At 42.3% G+C, this 17,895-nt stretch overlaps 1 long non-coding RNA gene across 3 annotated transcripts in view; it reads right to left on the reverse strand.

Moving 5' to 3' along the window:
• LOC102724701 (uncharacterized) overlaps positions 1 to 17,895 on the reverse strand; it is a 441,766-nt gene that overhangs the window by 25,559 nt on the left and 398,312 nt on the right. Inside the window, exon 2 of one of the 3 annotated variants that reach the window (XR_001755113.2) lies at positions 267 to 325. The exons of 1 other annotated variant lie outside the window; for it this stretch is intronic. This is a non-coding gene — a long non-coding RNA (uncharacterized LOC102724701). Of the gene's footprint in view, positions 1 to 266; positions 326 to 12,610; positions 12,784 to 17,895 lie in introns of those variants that run through there. One more of the 3 variants, XR_001755107.1, reaches the window with a different exon arrangement.

Genomic DNA, 17,895 nt, shown 5'->3' on the forward strand with positions numbered 1-17,895 from the left:
AATATGAAGACTATAATGTAAAATCTATAGCTGTAAAATTCCTAGCACAATACAGAAGGGTGAAGCTTCATGACAATTGGTCTCGGCAATAATTTGGGGGATGTAACATCAACGAATCAGACAACAAAAGCAAGGGAATACACATGGTACTAAATCAGTGTGTGAAAAATATCCCAAACAGGCAAAGCAGAACATGGAATAGATATATGCACATTTATGTACACTGTAGCATTACTCACAAACATACTACCTGGAAGCAAATGTACCTTTAAGGATGAGTAGATTCAACAAACAGGGCACGTATATTCACTGGATAGCATTCAGCCTTAAAAATAAGGAAATCTTGAAAAGTACTACAATAAGGACAAATCTCGAAAACATTCTGTTAAGTAAAACAAGACAGTCAAAAAGGAAAACTGTATAATTACACCTATGTAAAATATTTAGTCAAACTCAAAGAAACCAAGTGTTGTAGTCTCAGCAGTGCACCAAGATGTAACAGTCTCTCATAGTCTGAGATAGCATCGAAAGTTCTTTGTTCTACTTCTAGGGAGATTAAGGAGCGTGAACACAAAGGTGAGGTTAGAGTGAAAGTTTGATAAGCAAGAGAAGAAAGCTCTTTGCCAGCAGAGATAGTTTCTGAATGGGGTGACCTCTGTGAGGCTGGGGCCCAAGGTTTTTATGGACTGGGAAAGGAAGAGAAGGAAATGTGCCTAGTTAACAGGCTGTCTTGAAAAAAGTGTGGCTCAGCTTGGCCCAGGACTTTGACCCGGGACCAATCAGGAGCTGAAGGGATGATTCATAGATGCTATTTAGATTGGCCCAGGACTTATCAGAAGCTAAAGTGAAAGCTTGGCGCAGGAGCTTGTCCCGGGAGCAATCAGGGGCTGAAGTAATTATTCACAGAGGTCTGACTTACAGTCCAAATAAAGGAGAGTGTCGACCGGAATGCACCAGAGCCCACTGTGCTTATGCCCACAAAAGGAGAAGAAACATTTTCCTGGGAGCCCACTGACTGCACAAAGTACAAAGGCGTTTCTTTTTTTCTTTTTCTTTTCTTTCTTTCTTTCATTTTTGTTTTTGAGATGTACTTTCTTATTATTTATTAATTTATTTATTTTGAGACGTAGTTTTGCTCTTGTTGCCCAGGCTGGAGTGCAATGGTGCGATCTCGGCCCACAGCAAACTCCGCCACCTGGGTTTAAGTGATTCTCCTGCCTCAGCCTCCCAAGTAGCTGGGATTACAGGCATGAGGCACCATGCCCGGCTAATTTTGTATTTTTCTCCATGTTGGTCATGCTGGTCTCGAACTCCCGACCTCAGGTGATCCGCCCACTTCTGCCTCCCAAATTGCTGGAATTACGGGCATGAGCCACTGTGCCTGGACAAACAAAGGCATTTCTATGCCAGGTCGGTCTTGTTCCCTTATCTCAGTGAGCTGGAGGTTTGTACAAGTTTTTATCCAAATATGCCAGAGGTTTTTCTGTCTGTGCAGCCATGGGCAGGTCTCCAAGCACAACACCATGTGCTAGTTACCTTGTTAGTGTCTGCAGCTTGATTTTTTCCAGGATTCCTTTTATATTATGCAGGGATGAGACACTGACCCAAGGGCCAGGGACTTTCCAGGGACCCTTCTCTTGCTATCTAACTAAAGCAAGCTAACTAACTTGTTTCAGAATTAATGAGTATTCACTTTTACTTTTGTAAGACAAAAATTATCTAAAACCTATTGCAAAAAAAAATAGAACTATACTTACCACTTCTAAACCATATACTTAAAATGTTAGAAATGAAAATGGCATGTTTTTAACTACAATTAGAAATTTAGGACTACCTAAAAGGCACGGTTACAAAATCTTCAAACATCCCCTTCAAATAACAAAGGGTTCTTCTCACTTAATTATTTAGATTTAAACTATAAGTTGATTGTAAATTTAAGATTATTTCCCTGACTACTCACCAAGATAGAATAAAATAATCACTAGAAACCAAGAAAAGAGGGAAATTTATAGCACTAATGTCCACATCAAAAAGCTAGAAAGGGCCGGTCATGGTGGCTCATGCCTGTAATTCCAGCACTTTGGGAGGCTGGGGTAGGCAGATCACTTGAGACCAGGTGTTCAGGACCAGCCTGGCCAACAGCAAAACCATATCTCTACAAAAAAATACAAAAATTAGCTAGGTGTGGTGATTCACATCTGTAATCCCAGCTACTCAGGAGGCTGAGACAGCAGAAGTGACTTAAAACCGAGAAGTGGAGGTTGCAGTGAGCCGAGATTATGCCACTGTACTCCAGCCTGGGTGACAGAGTGAAACTCTCCCACAAGAAAAAAAAAAATTAGAAAGATCTAAAGTTAACAGCCTAACATCTTGGTTAAAAGAACAAGAAAACCAAGTGAAAACAAACCTGAAAGCTAGCAGAAGATAAGAAATAGCCAAGATCAGAGTAGAGCTGAAGGAGATAGAGACACTGAGAACTCTTCCAAAAAAAAAAAAAAAAAACTCAACCAATCCAGGAGCTGTTTTTATGAAAAAAAAAAAATTTATAAACTAGATGGAACACTAGTTAGGCAAATAAATAAGAAAAGAAAGAACCAAACACAAATAGAAATAATAAGGGAGATATCATCACTGATCCCATGGAAATAAGAACAACGATCAGAGAATACTATAAACACCTCTATGCTCATAAACCAGAAAATCTAGAAGAAATGGACAATTTCCTTGCAAAATAAACTCTCTACAAGACTGAACCCTGAATAGATCAATAATGTGTTCTGAAATTGAGACAGTAAGAACTAGCCTACCAAGCAAGCTGAATTTGACTTGAGGTAAAGAGGAGATAGTACATTTTCTCCTAAAACTATCCAAAAAAAATTGAAGACAAAGAAGTTCTGTCTAACTCATTCTATCAGGCCAGCATCATCCTGATACCAAAACCTAACATAGATACAACAACAACAACAACAACACATCATGCCAATGTCTTTGATGAACACTGTGCAAACATCCTCAATAAAATACTGGCAAACCAAACCCAGCAGCACATTAAAAAGTGCATCCACCACAATGGAATTGGCTTTGTCTCCAGGATGCAAGGTTGATTCAACATATGCAAATCAACAAATGTGACTCATCACATAAAGAAAACTAAATAAAAAAACCACATGATTACCTCAATAGATGCAGAAAAAGCACCCAATAAAATTCAACATTCCTTCACGTTTAAAATTCTCAATAAATTAGGAACTGAAGAAACATACCTCAAAATAAGAAGAGCCATATACAACAAACCCACAGCCAATATCATACTGAATATGCAAAAGCTGGAAACATTCCCCCTGAAAACCGGCACAAGAAAAGTATGCTCTCTCTCACCACTCGCATTACAACTCCCATTCGGAAAACTTGTCCAGGAAAATCAGGCCAGAGGAAGAAATAAACAGTATTCAAATAGAAAGAGAGAAAGTCAAATTATCTTTGTTTACAGATGACCTGACCCTATATCTAGAAAGCCTCTTCGTCTCAGCCCCAAAGCTTCTTAAGGTGATAAGCAGCAGTAGCAAAATCTCAGGATATAAAATCAATCTGCAAAAGTAGCTAGCATTCCCATACACAAGCAACAGGCAAGCAGGGAGACAAATCATGAATGAACTTTCATTCACATTTGCTATAAAGAGAAAAAAATACCAAGGAATACAGCTAAGAAGGAAAGTGAAGGATATCTTCAAGGAGAACTACAAACAACTACTCAGAGGAATCAGAGTGGACACAAAACAAATGGAGAAACATTCCATGCTCACGGAGAGAAAGAATCAGTACCACGAATATGAGCATATTGCCCTAAGTAATTTATAGATTCAATGCTGTTCCCATTGAACTACTGACATTCTTCAGATAATTAGAAAAAAAAAACTTTTTAAAATTAAAATGGAACCAAAAAAGAGCCCAAATAGCCAAGCCAACCTTAAGAAAAAAAAAAAAAAAAGCTGAAAGGGTCATTGCCTAACTTCAAACTGTACTAGAAGAGTACAGTAACAAAAACAGCATGGTACTGGTATAGAAACAGACACATAGACAAATGAAACAAAATAGAGAGCATAGAAATAAAGCCAAAAACCTACAACAAACTGATCTTTGACAAAGTCAACAAAAACAAGGAATTAGGGAAAAGTCTCCCTATTCAATAAATAGTGCTAGGATAACTGGCTAGTCATGTGCAGAGAATTAAGACTGGAACCCTTCCTAACACCATAGACAAAAATTGACTCAAGATGGATTAAAGACTTGAATGTAAAACCCAAAACTATAAAAACCTTAGAAGAAAAAATCTAGAAAATACCATTCAGGATATAGTCATGAGGAAAGATTTGATGACAAAAAGACCAAAAGAAATAGCAACAAAAGCAAAAATTGACTAATGGGGTCTAATTAAACTAAAGAGATTCCACAGAGCCAAAGAAGCTATCATCAGAGCAGAGAAGCTAGAGAATGGGAGAAAAATTTTGCAACCTATTCATCTGACAAATATCTAATACCCAGAATCTATGAGGGACTTAAAATTTACAAGAGAAAAACAAACAACCCCATTAAAAAGTGGTCAAAGGACATGAACAGACATATCTCAAAAGAAGACATACATGTGCCCAACAAACATGGAAAGCTCAACATCACTGATAACTGGATAAATACACATCAAAACAACAATGAGATACCATCTCACACCAATTACAATGTCTATTAATAAAAAGTAAAAAAGAAATAAAAACAGATGCTGGTGAGGTTGTGGAGAAAAGGGAACACTTTTACACTGTTGGTGGGATTGTAAATTATTTCAAGCATTGTGGAAGAGAGTGTGGAGATTCCTCAAAGACCTAGAAGCAGAAATACCATTTGACCCAGCAATACTATTACTGGGCATACACCCAAAGGAATATAAATCTATTTTAAATAAACATGTATACATATGTTCATTGCAGCAATATTTACAATAGCAACGTCATGTAATCAATCTACATGCCCATCAATGATATACTGGATAAAGAAAATGTGGTACACATACACCATGGAACACTATGAAGCCATAAAATGTAATGAGATGATGTCCTTTGCAGGGACATGGTTGGAATTTGAAGCCATTACTCCCAGCAAACTAATGCAGGAACAGAAAACCAAACACCACCTATTATTATTCTAACTTATTAGCAGAAGCAGATCAATGAGAACACATGGACACATCAGGAAGAACAACACACACTGGACACCTGTTTCATGGCATGGGGGAGGGGAAGGAGAGCAGCAGGAAGAATAGCTGCGGATGCTGGGCTTAGTACCTGGGTGATGAGATGATCTGTGCAGTAAAGCACAATGGCACACGTTTATCTATGTAAGAGACCTGCATATCCTGCACATGGACCCCTAAACTTAAAATAAAAGTTGAAAAAAAAGCTTATCACATATGGACCACTGAACTTAAAATAAAACTTGAAAAAACATGAGTATGAGGTGGATTCCCTAGGTTAGACCCAAACTGAAGATCCTGAAGCTCCTGCTGGGGGATTTGGGGCTGGGGGCACCCTGGGGAGCTGCTGCCAAGGCCATCCACCGTCCCTACAGGCCGCCTCTCTTCCCGGCCTGTGATGGAAAGGAGAAGGGGTATGTGAACAGCTGTGGAAGTCAGACTCTCGGGAACTGAATCAGGCCCCAGCCCATGCCCCCCAGCCCAGTCCAGCCAACGTGCCCGCTGTCTTCCCACCCAGCCAGCCGAGCCCTCAGGATTGTTAGATGGAACCAGGCTCCATCACCACCCAGGCATGGAGGGAAGATGCCCTGGTCCTTAGCAAGCAAGGCCTGGTTTCCAAAGTGCTCTCCGAAGAGGCCTCATGTTTGTGACATCTTAGAAGGTACCTTTCTGCTGTTCTTGCACCCAGCATGTTGGCAAGTCAAGTTCCCCCACTGAGTTCTCCACACATAAGGAGGGAGTCAACACCATTGCTAAGTCGGATCAGCTCAAGTGTCTCCAGTATCAGTTTTATCAGATCCCAGGGACCTGCCTGCTCCCAGAGGTGACAGAGAAAAATCAAGGAACGATCTGTATGGTCACTGACATGGATGAAACCCTTGTGCATAGCTCCATTAAGCCAATCAGCAATGCTGACTGCCTAGTGACTGTAAAGATTGAGGGGACCATGAGGCCTTATATGGATGAGTTCCTGAGATGACTGGAGGAACTGTTTAAATGTGTTTTCTTCATTGCTCTCTTCATTCCAGACTGAACAAGTATGCAGATCCTGTTGAGAGGTGACAGCGTGCTGGCAGTCCTCACAACCCTTGCTCACTCTCCGGGCCTCCTCTGCCTGGGCTCCAACTTTGGCGGCACTTTAGGAGCCCTTCAGCCTGTCGCTGCACTGTGGGAGCCCCTTTCTGGGCTGGCCAAGGTCGGAGCCGGCTCCCTCAGCTTGCGACGAGGTGTGGAGGGAGAGGTGCGTGTGGGAACCAGGGCGGCGTGCAGTGCTTGAAGGCCAGCGCGAGCTCGGCGGACCCCACACTCGGAGCCGCCGGCTGGCCCCACCGGCCCCAGGCAGTGAGGGGCTTAACACCTCGGCCAGCAGCTGCTGTGCTCAATTTGTCGCTGGGCCTTAGCTGCCATCCCACAGGGCAGGGCTTGGGTCCTGCAGCCCGCCATGCCTGAGCCTCCCCCCCATCGGTGGGCTCCTGTGTGCCCAAGCCTCCTGGATGAGTGTCGCCCCCTGCTCCACGGCACCCAGTCCCATCAACCACCCAAGGGCTGAGAAGTGCGGGTGCACAGTGCCAGACTGGCAGGCAGCTACACCTGCAGACCCTGTGGGGGATCCACTGGGTGAAGCCAGCTGGGCTCCTGAGTCTGGTAGGGACGTGGAGAAACTTTGTGTCTAGCTCAGGGATTGTAAATACACCAATCGGCACTCTGTATCTAGCTCAAGGTTTGTAAACATGCCAATCAGCACCCTGTGTCTAGCTCAGGGTTTGTGAATGCACCAATCAACACTCTGTATCTAGCTACACTGGTGGGGATGTGGAGAACCTTTGTGTCTAGCTCAGGGATTGTAAACACACCAATCAGCGCCCTGTGAAAAAAGACCACTCGGCTCTAACAATCAGCAAGATGTGGGTGGGGCCAGATAAGGGAATAAAAGTAGGCTGCCCCAGCCAGCAGTGGCAACCCACTCGGGTCCCCTTCCACACTGTGGAAGCTTTGTTCTTTTGCTCTTTGCAATAAATATTGCTGCTGCTCACTCTTTGGGTCCACAATGCCTTTATGAGCTGTAACACTCACTGTGAAGGTCCACAACTTCACTCCTGAAGCCAGCGAGACCACGAACCCACCTGGAGGAATGAACAACTCCAGATGTGCCACCTTAAGAGCTGTAACACTCACCGCGAACGTCTGCAGCTTCACTCCTGAGCCAGCGAGACCACGAGCCCACCAGAGGGAAGAAACTCTCAACACATCCGAATGTCAGAAGGAACAAACTCCAGACATGCCACCTTTAAGAACTGTAACACTCACCGTGAGGGTCTGTGGCTTCATTCTTGAAGTCAGTGAGAACAAGAACCCACCAATTCCAGACACATTGTGATGGGTGTGCTGGACCAGTGTGAGGTGTTCTGGGGTTGCCTAGCCCATGAGTCACGTTTGTTCCACCAGGGCTGCTATGTCAATGACCTCAGCCATCTGGGGAGGGACCTGAGGAAAACTCTCATCCTGGACAACTCGCCTGCTTCTTACGTCTTCCACACAGAGAATGCAGTGCCTGTGCAGTCCTGGTTTGATAACATTCCAGACAGCAGCTGCTGCACCTGATATCAGTCTTTGAGGACATGAGTGGAGCAGAGGGCATCTATACTAGCCTTGGGCAGCAGTGGGCCCTTAGCCTTTCCTGCTTCCCAGCAATGGCCATCACAGTAGGGGATTTTCCCACACTGTGCCTTTATGATCAGCCTGAAAGAATGAAGCCTGGAACACCTACCCACATGGGCCTGGAAACAGTGAGAAGTGATTGAAAAGAGCTTTAGGACAGCTTAGATTCCCAGTGGGTGAATGCCAGACCAAGGATACCCAGAGCTACCTGCCATCAAGTTTTTGGGTTCCCAAGATTGGGTGTGAGAGAAAGAAAGAGAGCATGTGTGTTTTGTGATGAACTGTGGGCCCAATATATAGTGTTTCAGTAGGGGAGAAGCTGAAGGACAGAGACTCTTCCCAAGTTAGCTTTGTCTCCTCTCCTGTCACCCTATGAGACCCTGAGTTCCATAGGGATGAAGACTGTTGAAGGCTCCATTGCAAACCTGGTCTTTCTTCAGTGCTGCAAGGCCTATGCCAAGGAGAAAGGAAAAGTATGTCTTTGGGTGTTCCAGACACACATCTTTCTGAAATATTTCTCCAGCCAGTTGTTGCAGACAAAAGATGATATTTCTGGGAAGATGGGGACTTATGTCCAGACCAGTACCCAAACCATCAGGTCTTGTGGCCTAAAGGCTATGCTTACTTAAGTCCAGCCAAGTGCCTGGGATGGATCCTTTCTGCATCTCCTCAAGACTCACCACTTAGGCATAGCCTCAAACCTGTGGGGAAGGAAGTTGTCTCCCCACCCTGCAAGAGGACAAATAACTGATTTCTCTTCTTTCGACTCTGTTTTAAAATTCTCTTAAAAAAAAAAAAAGCCTATCTGAAACTGAAAAGAAAAAAACAAAAAAACAAGGAAAAAGATGTCATACTTACATAAGTGAAAAACATACAGATATATCTATAAGCAACAAACACAGCTAATTCACACATATATTAAACATCACATTGAGATAAAGTGTACCGAGCTAAAAATTATCTTTCAACTGATGATATCAAGCTTTAAAATAAAAATACATTTAACTGATCTGAGAAAACATAACTCCCAAGAAAAGAAACACAATAACACGGACTTGAAAATAAGAAGAGAGATTTTCGTGCATAAAATCCTGAATACAACATAGATTTACAATGGAAAATAACCGTTTTTTTTTTTATTTTTTTTTTTGAGACAGAGTCTTGCCCTGTTGCCCAGGCTGGAGTGCAGTGGCGCGATCTCGGCTCACTGCAAACTCTGTCCACTGAGTTCACGCCATTCTCCTGCCTCAGCCTCCTGAGTAGCTGGGGATACAGGCGCCTGCCACTATGCCCGGCTAATTTTTTGTATATTTAGTAGAGACGGGGTTTCACCATGTTAGTCAGGGTTGTCTCGATCTCCTGACCTCGTGATCCACCCGCCTTGGCCTCCCAAGGTGCTGGGAATACAGGCATGAGCCACCACAACCGGCCGAAAAATAATTCTTTAGATATCTACAGCATTCAACTGTGTGCACTCATGAAAAGCAGACAATTTAAGTCATTAGAATTTAATAAATTGCAGTAAAATTATACAGAAAATACATTACAATCATTAATAACAGGCTCTAATGAGAGGAATTTAATAAATAATCATTAAAAATACAGGATAATTTTATTATGTTCTCAATATGTTGCTGCACTTCTTACCACAAAACATAATAAAATTATATGACTATAATATAGATTTCAAGAGCTAAAAAAGCCTTATATTTCCAAATAAAAGAACAACATAAATTTTGCAAAATATGACGAGCATTACTGCAGTATAAAGTAAATATCTGGAATTAAAATATACCATCATTTAGATACAGACTAAAAAAAAGAATATAAATGTTAATGATTCCTTTCTGCCTGCAGTGAGCTTAAAATTACAACCAAAAATTTTAATAAATATGTAGCACCTACAAGACATTTTATTAATAGCTTACATAATGTGGAAATTTGAGCAATTTATTTTAGAATTTTTGAATCTAAAAATCACCAGCTTGACATTCATTTGAGAAAGTGAAACATAAAGGAGAGTAACATAAGCAAGACGACAGAATGGGAGGTTCGGCATGCACATCCCCCACAACATAATGCAGCTGCCACGGGAAACATAAGTGCATTCATGAAAGCCTTAGAATCCAGTTCAGAGTTTGTGACACCCAGCTGGAGGCAAAGACCAAGGAAGACATCTTTAGAGGGTAAGCACTTGACCAAGTGGCAAGCTTGCCAATCATGGTCCTCGGTTCAAAACAGAATACTACCACATCTTACTGTAAACTTGGCTATGACTCATTTGAACTTGGTCCTGCCACTGCAAAAATCTGTGAAAAACACAAAAGAATTCATACTCATCTGAGACTTAGGTGACAGGCCTGCAGAACTTGGTTCTCTCTATAGTCCCTGAATCAGGCAAAACACACCTTCTTTCCTTCTCCAGCCAAGGTCTGGAAGAAATCTTCACATTGATATGATGAAATGCTAACTAACAATATGAAAAATACTAAAGTATAAATGTCACTAAAAATGGTAAATACATACTGAAATTCAGAATACTCTAAATTGTTATCATCTTAAACTAGACTATTAAAATACAAGAGGTTTTACATAAGTCTCATGATAACCACTGGGGGAAAAAAAAACATAGTAAAGAAAAAGAGAAAGTAATTAAAGCATACACAAACAACAAAAATTACACATTGGATACAGTGGCTCCTGCTTATAATTCCAACACTTTTGGAGGCCAAGGTGGAAGAATCATAAGCTCCTTGGGTGTTGTGGTACATGTCCAAGTAGTCCAAGCTACTTGGGTGGCTAAGGGGGGAGGATTGCTTGAGCCCAGGAGATTGAGGCTACAGTGAGCTGTGATATGCCACTGAACTTCAGTCTGAGCAAGAAAGCATAACTTTGTCTCAACAAAAATGAACAATACCACAGGAAAGACAGAACCAGAAAAAAAAGAAGCAAACTTAAAATGGACAGAAAACTACAAATGTACAATAGTAACTGCTTACCTATCACTACCTTACAAATAAAAAGATTAAATTATCTACTAAACAGATACTTCTGTAGACTGAATGTCATCTCCAAAATTTAGGATAAAATGGCCAATGTGAAAGAATTAAGAGGTGGAACCTTTAAAAATTAATTAAGCTATAAGCACTCTGCCCTCATGAATGGATTAATGTTCTTATTATGGGAATGGGCTAATTTTAACAAGAATGGATCTGTTATATATTAAAAAAAAAAAAGCTGTCTCTCCCTCACATCTTTGGCCATGTTATTATCCAGCAACTAGACCTTCAACAGATACCAGTAACATGTTCTTTTACCTTCCCAGCCTCCAGAATCATGAGTCAAATAAAATTCTGTTCTTTATTAATTACCAGTCTGTGATATTCTGTTATAACAGCCAAAAGAGACTAAAGCAGACAGAGTGGATAAATGAAACTTTTAAACCTCGTAATATGCTGCTTACAAGAGACTCAATTATGAATTAAGAGCATAGGCTAAAAGTGAAAGGATAGAAAATGATATTCCATGCAAATAATAGCCAAAGGAGTTCAATGGTAGTTATGCTTAAATTAGACAAAATAGACTTTCTAGCAATGTCTCTCACAAGCATGAAATGAGTTTACCATACAATAATAATAGAGGTTAATTTGTCAAGTGAATATAGCTATATATATTTATGCACCCAAAAGGGAGGCTTCTAAATATAAAAAGCAAATATGGGCAGAACTGTAGGGAGAAGTAGAAAGAAATCCAATAATAGAAAACTTTAATGAAATGTATAATAAAGGACAAATAGTTAACAGCATTGTGAATTTGCAAGGGAAAGCTGTTCTCCTGTGTTGCATTTGAGAATGCAGCAAAGAAAGTGGGAACTGATAATTTTACCACAAGCCTGAGTTAGGCTGAAAAACAGGGTGGTCGATTAGAGGTTCCACTTGCCATATATTAAAAAAACACAGGAGAAAACCAGTCCTCCTCTGGAGTGTTAAAATAATTAAAGAGCAGAAAATTAGACTAAAGTGGCTCTAGTGTCCTGGGTTCATAGGTTAAAAAAAAAAAAACAAAAACTAAAACCTAACTCAAATACATTTCCTATAAAGCATTATCTTAGCCTGAAACAAAATGCACGTTTAACCAATGGCAAACATGCAATTAACCTCTGAATATGTAACCAGGACATTTCCATCTGGATAGTTCAAATAAGGTGACTACATAACTGGAACCAATTTTTGAATTTGGGCTGCTTTCTCATGCATCTTATGAAAGCCTTTCCTTTATGCCCCTCTGGTGGACCAGAAATCATGGCTGGGTGCTTTCCATTTCACCAATCACTGTTTGTTCAGATAAACTGGTTAACGTTTTAACATAGACTCCCGTTAATTTTTAACAAGAGAGACTGGGGACCCCACGGGCCGCAGCTCCTCCCACGCAAACACCCAGTGGCAGTTTTTCCCTGATGACCCACCAGGCCTCCCTGAACAATCTGGGAAATACTCATGGCTGTGGGCGCAGAGCAGGGCGCTGCCCAGGGACAGCACCGGATGGGCCAGGCCGGATGTGGGGGTCCTCGATGCTGGCCCAGCGGCCATCTTGCAGCCACAGGGGACTGAGGGCCAAGCTGCGGGAGACTCGGAGCTAACCGTGGGGGCCGGTCCTGCCGGTTTCACAGCCTGCTGTCCCCTCTCGGGATGCCGAACCCCGTATACTCACCATTTCCCAGCTTCCAGGATGTCCTGTCATCTTAACTGTGCGTCCCCAAGGACCTACAGATCACAGGGCAACAGGGGCTGTGAAAGAGTAGCCCGGGGCTCCCAAAGCGGAGGAGGCGAAAGAGGAGACGGATCCCAAGTTCCTGTGCCAGCGCCAGCAAGAGACAAAGACCCGCCAAACGCCAGAAGCCACGCCCTCCTCTCCTGTCCTCTCCAACTGCGCGCCTGATTGGGCTGTTCCCACATCAGTGTCAATGACTGGATAAAACTCCAGGACTCACCCACCCCCGCCTGACTCCTGCCCCTACCCCCACTCCCCCTCAGCCTTAGTGCATTTTTGTTAGTTTGTTTTACTTTAAGTTCTGGAATACATGTGCAGAACGTGCAGGTTTGTTACATAGGTTTACATGTGCCATGGTGGTTTGCTGCTTCTATCAACCTGACGTCTAGGATTTAAGCCCCATATGCATTAGGTATTTGTCCTAATTTTCTCCCTCCCCTTGACCTCAACACCCTAACAGGCCCCAGTGTGTGATGTTTTGTTCCCGGTGTCCATGTGTTCTCATTGTTCAACTCCCACATATGAGTGAGAACATATGGTGTTCTGTTTCCTGTTCCCGTGTTAGTTTGCTGAAGAGAATGGTTTCCAGTGTCATTCACGTCCCTGCAAAGGACATGAACTCATTCTTTTTATGGCTGAATATTATTTCATGGTGTATATGTGCCACATTTTCTTTTTCCAGTCTATCAATGATGGGCATTAGGTTGGTTCCAAGTCTTTGTTATTGTAAACAGTGCTGCAATAGATATATGAGTGCATGTGTCTTTATGCTAGAATGATTTATATTCCTTTGGGTATATAACCAGTAATGAGATTGCTGGGTCAAATGGTATTTCTGGTTCTAGATACTTAGGGAATCACCACACTGTCTTCCATAATGGTTGAAGTAATTTACACTCCCGCCCCCAGCAGTGTAAAAGCGTTTCTATTTCTCCATAGCCTCATCAGCATCTGTTGTTCCTGACATTTTAATAACTGCCATTCCAAATGGTGTGAGATGGTATCCCATTGTGGTTTTGATTTGCATTTCTCTAATCATCAGTGATGATGAGCTTTTTTCTTTTTCCTTTTTGTGTGTTTGTTGACCACATAAATGTCTTCTTCTTCTTCTTCTTCTTCTTCTTCTTCTTCTTCTTCTTCTTCTTCTTCTTCTTCTTCTTCTTCTTCCTCTTCTTCTTCTCCTTCTTCCTTTTCTTTTTATTTATTTTATTTATTATTATTTTAAAGACGGAGTCTAGCTCTGTCACCCAGGCTGGAGTGCAGTGGCAGGATCTCAGCTCACTGCAACATCTGCCACCCAGGTTCAAGTGATTCTCCTGCCTTATCCTCCCAAGAAGCTGGAATCACAGCCACCCGCCAAAACACCATGCTAATTTTTTGTGTTTTTAGTAGAGACATGGTTTCACCATGTTGCCCAGGCTAGTCTTGAACACCTGACCTCATGATCCACCTGCCTCCATGGCTGAAAGTGCTGGGATTACAGGCTTGATCAACCACGCCCAGCCAAATGTCTTCTTTTGAGAATAGTCTGTTCATATTCTTTACTCACTTTTTGATGTTTTTTTTTTGTGTGTGTGTGAAATTAAGTTCCTTGTAGATTCTGGATATTAGACCTCTGACACATGGATAGATTGCAAAAATTTTCTGTCATTCTGTAGGTTGCCTGGTCACTCTGATGATAGATTCTTTTGCTGTGCAGAAGCTCGTTAGTTTAATTAGATCTCATTTGTCAATTTTAGCTTTTGTTGTGATTGCTTTTGGTATTTTATTCCTGAAGTCTTTGCTCATGCCTATGTCCTGAATGGTATTGCCTAGGTTTTCTTCTAGGGTTTTTGTGGTTTGGTGTTTTATATTTAAGACTTTAATCCATCTTGAGATAATGTTTGTATAAGATGTAAAGAAGGGGTCCAGTTTCTGTTTTCTGAATGTGGCTAGCCAGTTCTTTCAGCACCATTTGGTAAGTAGTAAATCTTTCTCCATTGCTTGTTTTTGTCAGGTTTGTTAGAGATCAGATGGTTGTAGATGTGTGATGTTATTACTGAGGCCTCTGTTCTGTTCCATTGGTCTATATATCTGTTTTGGTATTAGTACTGTGCTGTTTTGGTTACTGCAGCCTTGTAGTATAGTTTGAAGTCGGGTAGCAAGATGCCCCAAGCTTTGGTGTTTTTGCTTAGGATTGTTTTGGGTTGACAGGCACACAGGCTCGTATAGTTGGGGTCACCTGCCCAGAGTATCACAGCTAATTAAGAAGTGAGCTGAGACTTGAAATGCACATGCTCCTTCCCTTACCTGGGTCTGTTGTATAATGCATCTTAGCAGCTATTTAACAGTAGGAATTAGAACATTTGGACATCTTTTTAACAACTTTTTAACCTGCATTTTGATAATGCAGGAAAGACCTTCATCCCGTCCCTGAGCCCCTCTCTCACCACGCTACATCCCACTGCTGACCACATTGTAGGGTAGCCATTAGGAATCAGGCGGGCAGTGGGGGCTGGGAATAAATAAGCAAGGATTATGCTGCCCAAATTTGCTCATCTTAGAAAGTCTCCTCAACCATTCTGTGTGAAGTGATTATTCCAGGGTAATTGTGGCCTGACTGCGCTGCATGTCAGTCTGACTTGTCTTTTTGAAAATCACTGGATTACTCTCATGAACGGGGGTATTTCTCTTTCTATTTGAAAACGGCCAACTGTCCTCTGCAGGTGTCCTGATTTGCTAGTTTAGACCCTGAAGGTAGCGGTGAGAAAATATTTGGGCCACAACAGAATACCTATTCTCAGCTGGAAGATATATAGAAATTTCTTAATAATATCTAACCATTTTCTCAATAACCATTATATTTAACATTGATAGCTTGGAGGGCAGGGAAGGACACAGATGACACAATCTTCAAAGTTTATTTATAAGTTTTTTTTTTTTTGTTCTTGTTTAGTTTTGCTTAGTTTTTGGATACAAGGTCTTGTTCTGGTGCCCAGGGTGGAGGGCAGTGGCATAATGATAACTCATAATTTGGTTGTAACGGTTCTTTAAAATATATTTTTGCTGAGAGTGCTAGCTCACACCTGTAATCTAAACACTTTGGGTGGTCAAGGTGGGATTATCGTTTGATCCCAGGAGTGCAAGACGAGTCTGAGCAACATAAGTAGGCTCAGTCTCTAGAAAAATATTTAAAAATTGTCTGGGTGTAGCTTTGCATGCCTGTAGTCCCAGCTACTTGAGAGGCTGATTTGAAAGCATCACTGGAGCCTAAGAATTTGAAGATGCAGTGACCCATGATTCAGCCACTGCATTGACAGAGTGAGATATGTGTGTGTGTGTCTGTGTGTGTGTATAAAGAATTTGTATGTGAAAAAAATTCAAGCACAGGATAAAAGTGAAAGCCCATGGTGGGGGATGTGGAGAAAGGTCAGTGTGGCTCCAGCAACTCAGTGAGACTTGGTTTTCCATCTTGAAGAATTGCCCATCCACACTGACACCATAGCCTAACATATGCCAGTTCTCACACTACACCTGCTGGGATACCAGTATGTAGCCTTTTGAAAAAAATAAAATCTTTCACCTAAGAGAAGGACAAGAGAAAACGAGGGTTTCACATCTAAAGCCTTCATTTTCTTTATGAATCAACAGCCACTTGTCATTTCAATTGTCCAGAGGCGACTGACAGCACCAATACACTTAATGAATCAACCAGGAAAAATGGGCCTCTCAGGTGAGGAGGAGGCACAATGGTCACAAAACCCAATCCGTTCTCAGCTTTGCATGGTGCTCGCATCTCAAGAAGTGGTGTTAGCCATGTGAACCGTGTTCACTGGACAAGGCCAGAGGAAAGAATATTTAGTACAACACAACTATGGGGCTGCAAATCAAACTGGTAGTGAGAGCATGCATGAGGCTTCAGTGGCCGAGACACTGGTGGCTACCCTTCGGTGTCACTTAAACCTTTGAGGTGAAGGACGTTTATTTTCCCCAATTGGCTCAGAGAAACTAATCAACATTAATATTGAGATTTGTTTTTCTTTTCAAAATTTCTAAGACACAGAGGACTCTAACACTCCAAAAGACATTCAGATATTCTTGCAGCTGAGGACTTGACTGCTCTGTAGAGGGATGGCAGAGCAGCAGCCACCAGCTTTAAGAGCTTTAAGCTCCTCCTCTTATAGGGAAAGGCCACCCCCACACAACCCCCCTAACTTCATAGGCTCTGGCTGTTAGGTGCACCTGGGGGACTGTCTTCCTCCCATCTCATTAGCTCTCCAAGACAGTTCAGCTCAATCTAAAACCTACCCTAAGATGGCGGTATGTAGACTCTCCTCCATTCTCCCAGCGCAGTGTGACTTCTGGAGAGTGCTCCCCCATCGTCTTACCTCAAATGATGTGAAAAGAGCTGGTTCCCGGGTAGTTAGATGTTCAGTGACCTAACAGGCCCAGCATGCGCAGGGCCTGGCCCCACAGCCTGGCACCTCTCTCCTACCTGGCCTTCACTTCGACCTTTTCTCTTCTGTCACCAATGTCAGGTGATGGTCACCAGTGCCACACTCTCATGAGCTTGGTAAGTAGCAGGGGTGTAAACCCCAACAGATTTCCTGTGACTCTACCCTCTTACCTCCCACTCAAGTGACATTATAAGCATAATTTTATATTTGATCTAATTTATGCATAACCTTTTTATAACATTTCTGACAACAGCCCACACAACCACATGAGTCTGGGTTACAGAACACACGGGCGAGGCTCGGGTAGCAGGTTTCACTTACTTTATTCCAATGTGAAATGAAGATTGATGATTTAAAAACAAGACAAAGTTGTTTATCAGCTGTGGGGTGGCTACACTTGCTAGCTCATGCTCACTTCCTTTGAAACAAGGTATCTGGACAGACCATATTCATAAGTAAGACTTCGCAAAACCTCAGACAGAAGTTCCAGTCAGACACAGCTCCCTCAGGCTCACAGGGTGGCAACCGCCTCCATGTTAGGCTCTGACAGCAGGCAAGGAAAGGAGCACAGGCAGCAGGGGACAGGGAGGGTCCGGGACTGTAGGGATCCCCAAATGCCCCAGAGCTATTCTCTGTAGAAGGGCACACGCAGGTCTCACTGTGTCAGTGCAGTGGCTGAATCATGGGTCACTGCAGCCTCAATCTCTTAGGCTCCAGTGATGCTTTCACCTCAGCCTCTCAAGTAGCTGTATGGCAAAAAGCCTCCTACTTTTTACTTAAAACCTGGAC

This window comes from Homo sapiens, chromosome 21, assembly GCF_000001405.40.
Source record: "Homo sapiens chromosome 21, GRCh38.p14 Primary Assembly".
In the NCBI taxonomy this organism is placed as follows: Eukaryota; Metazoa; Chordata; class Mammalia; order Primates; family Hominidae; genus Homo; species Homo sapiens.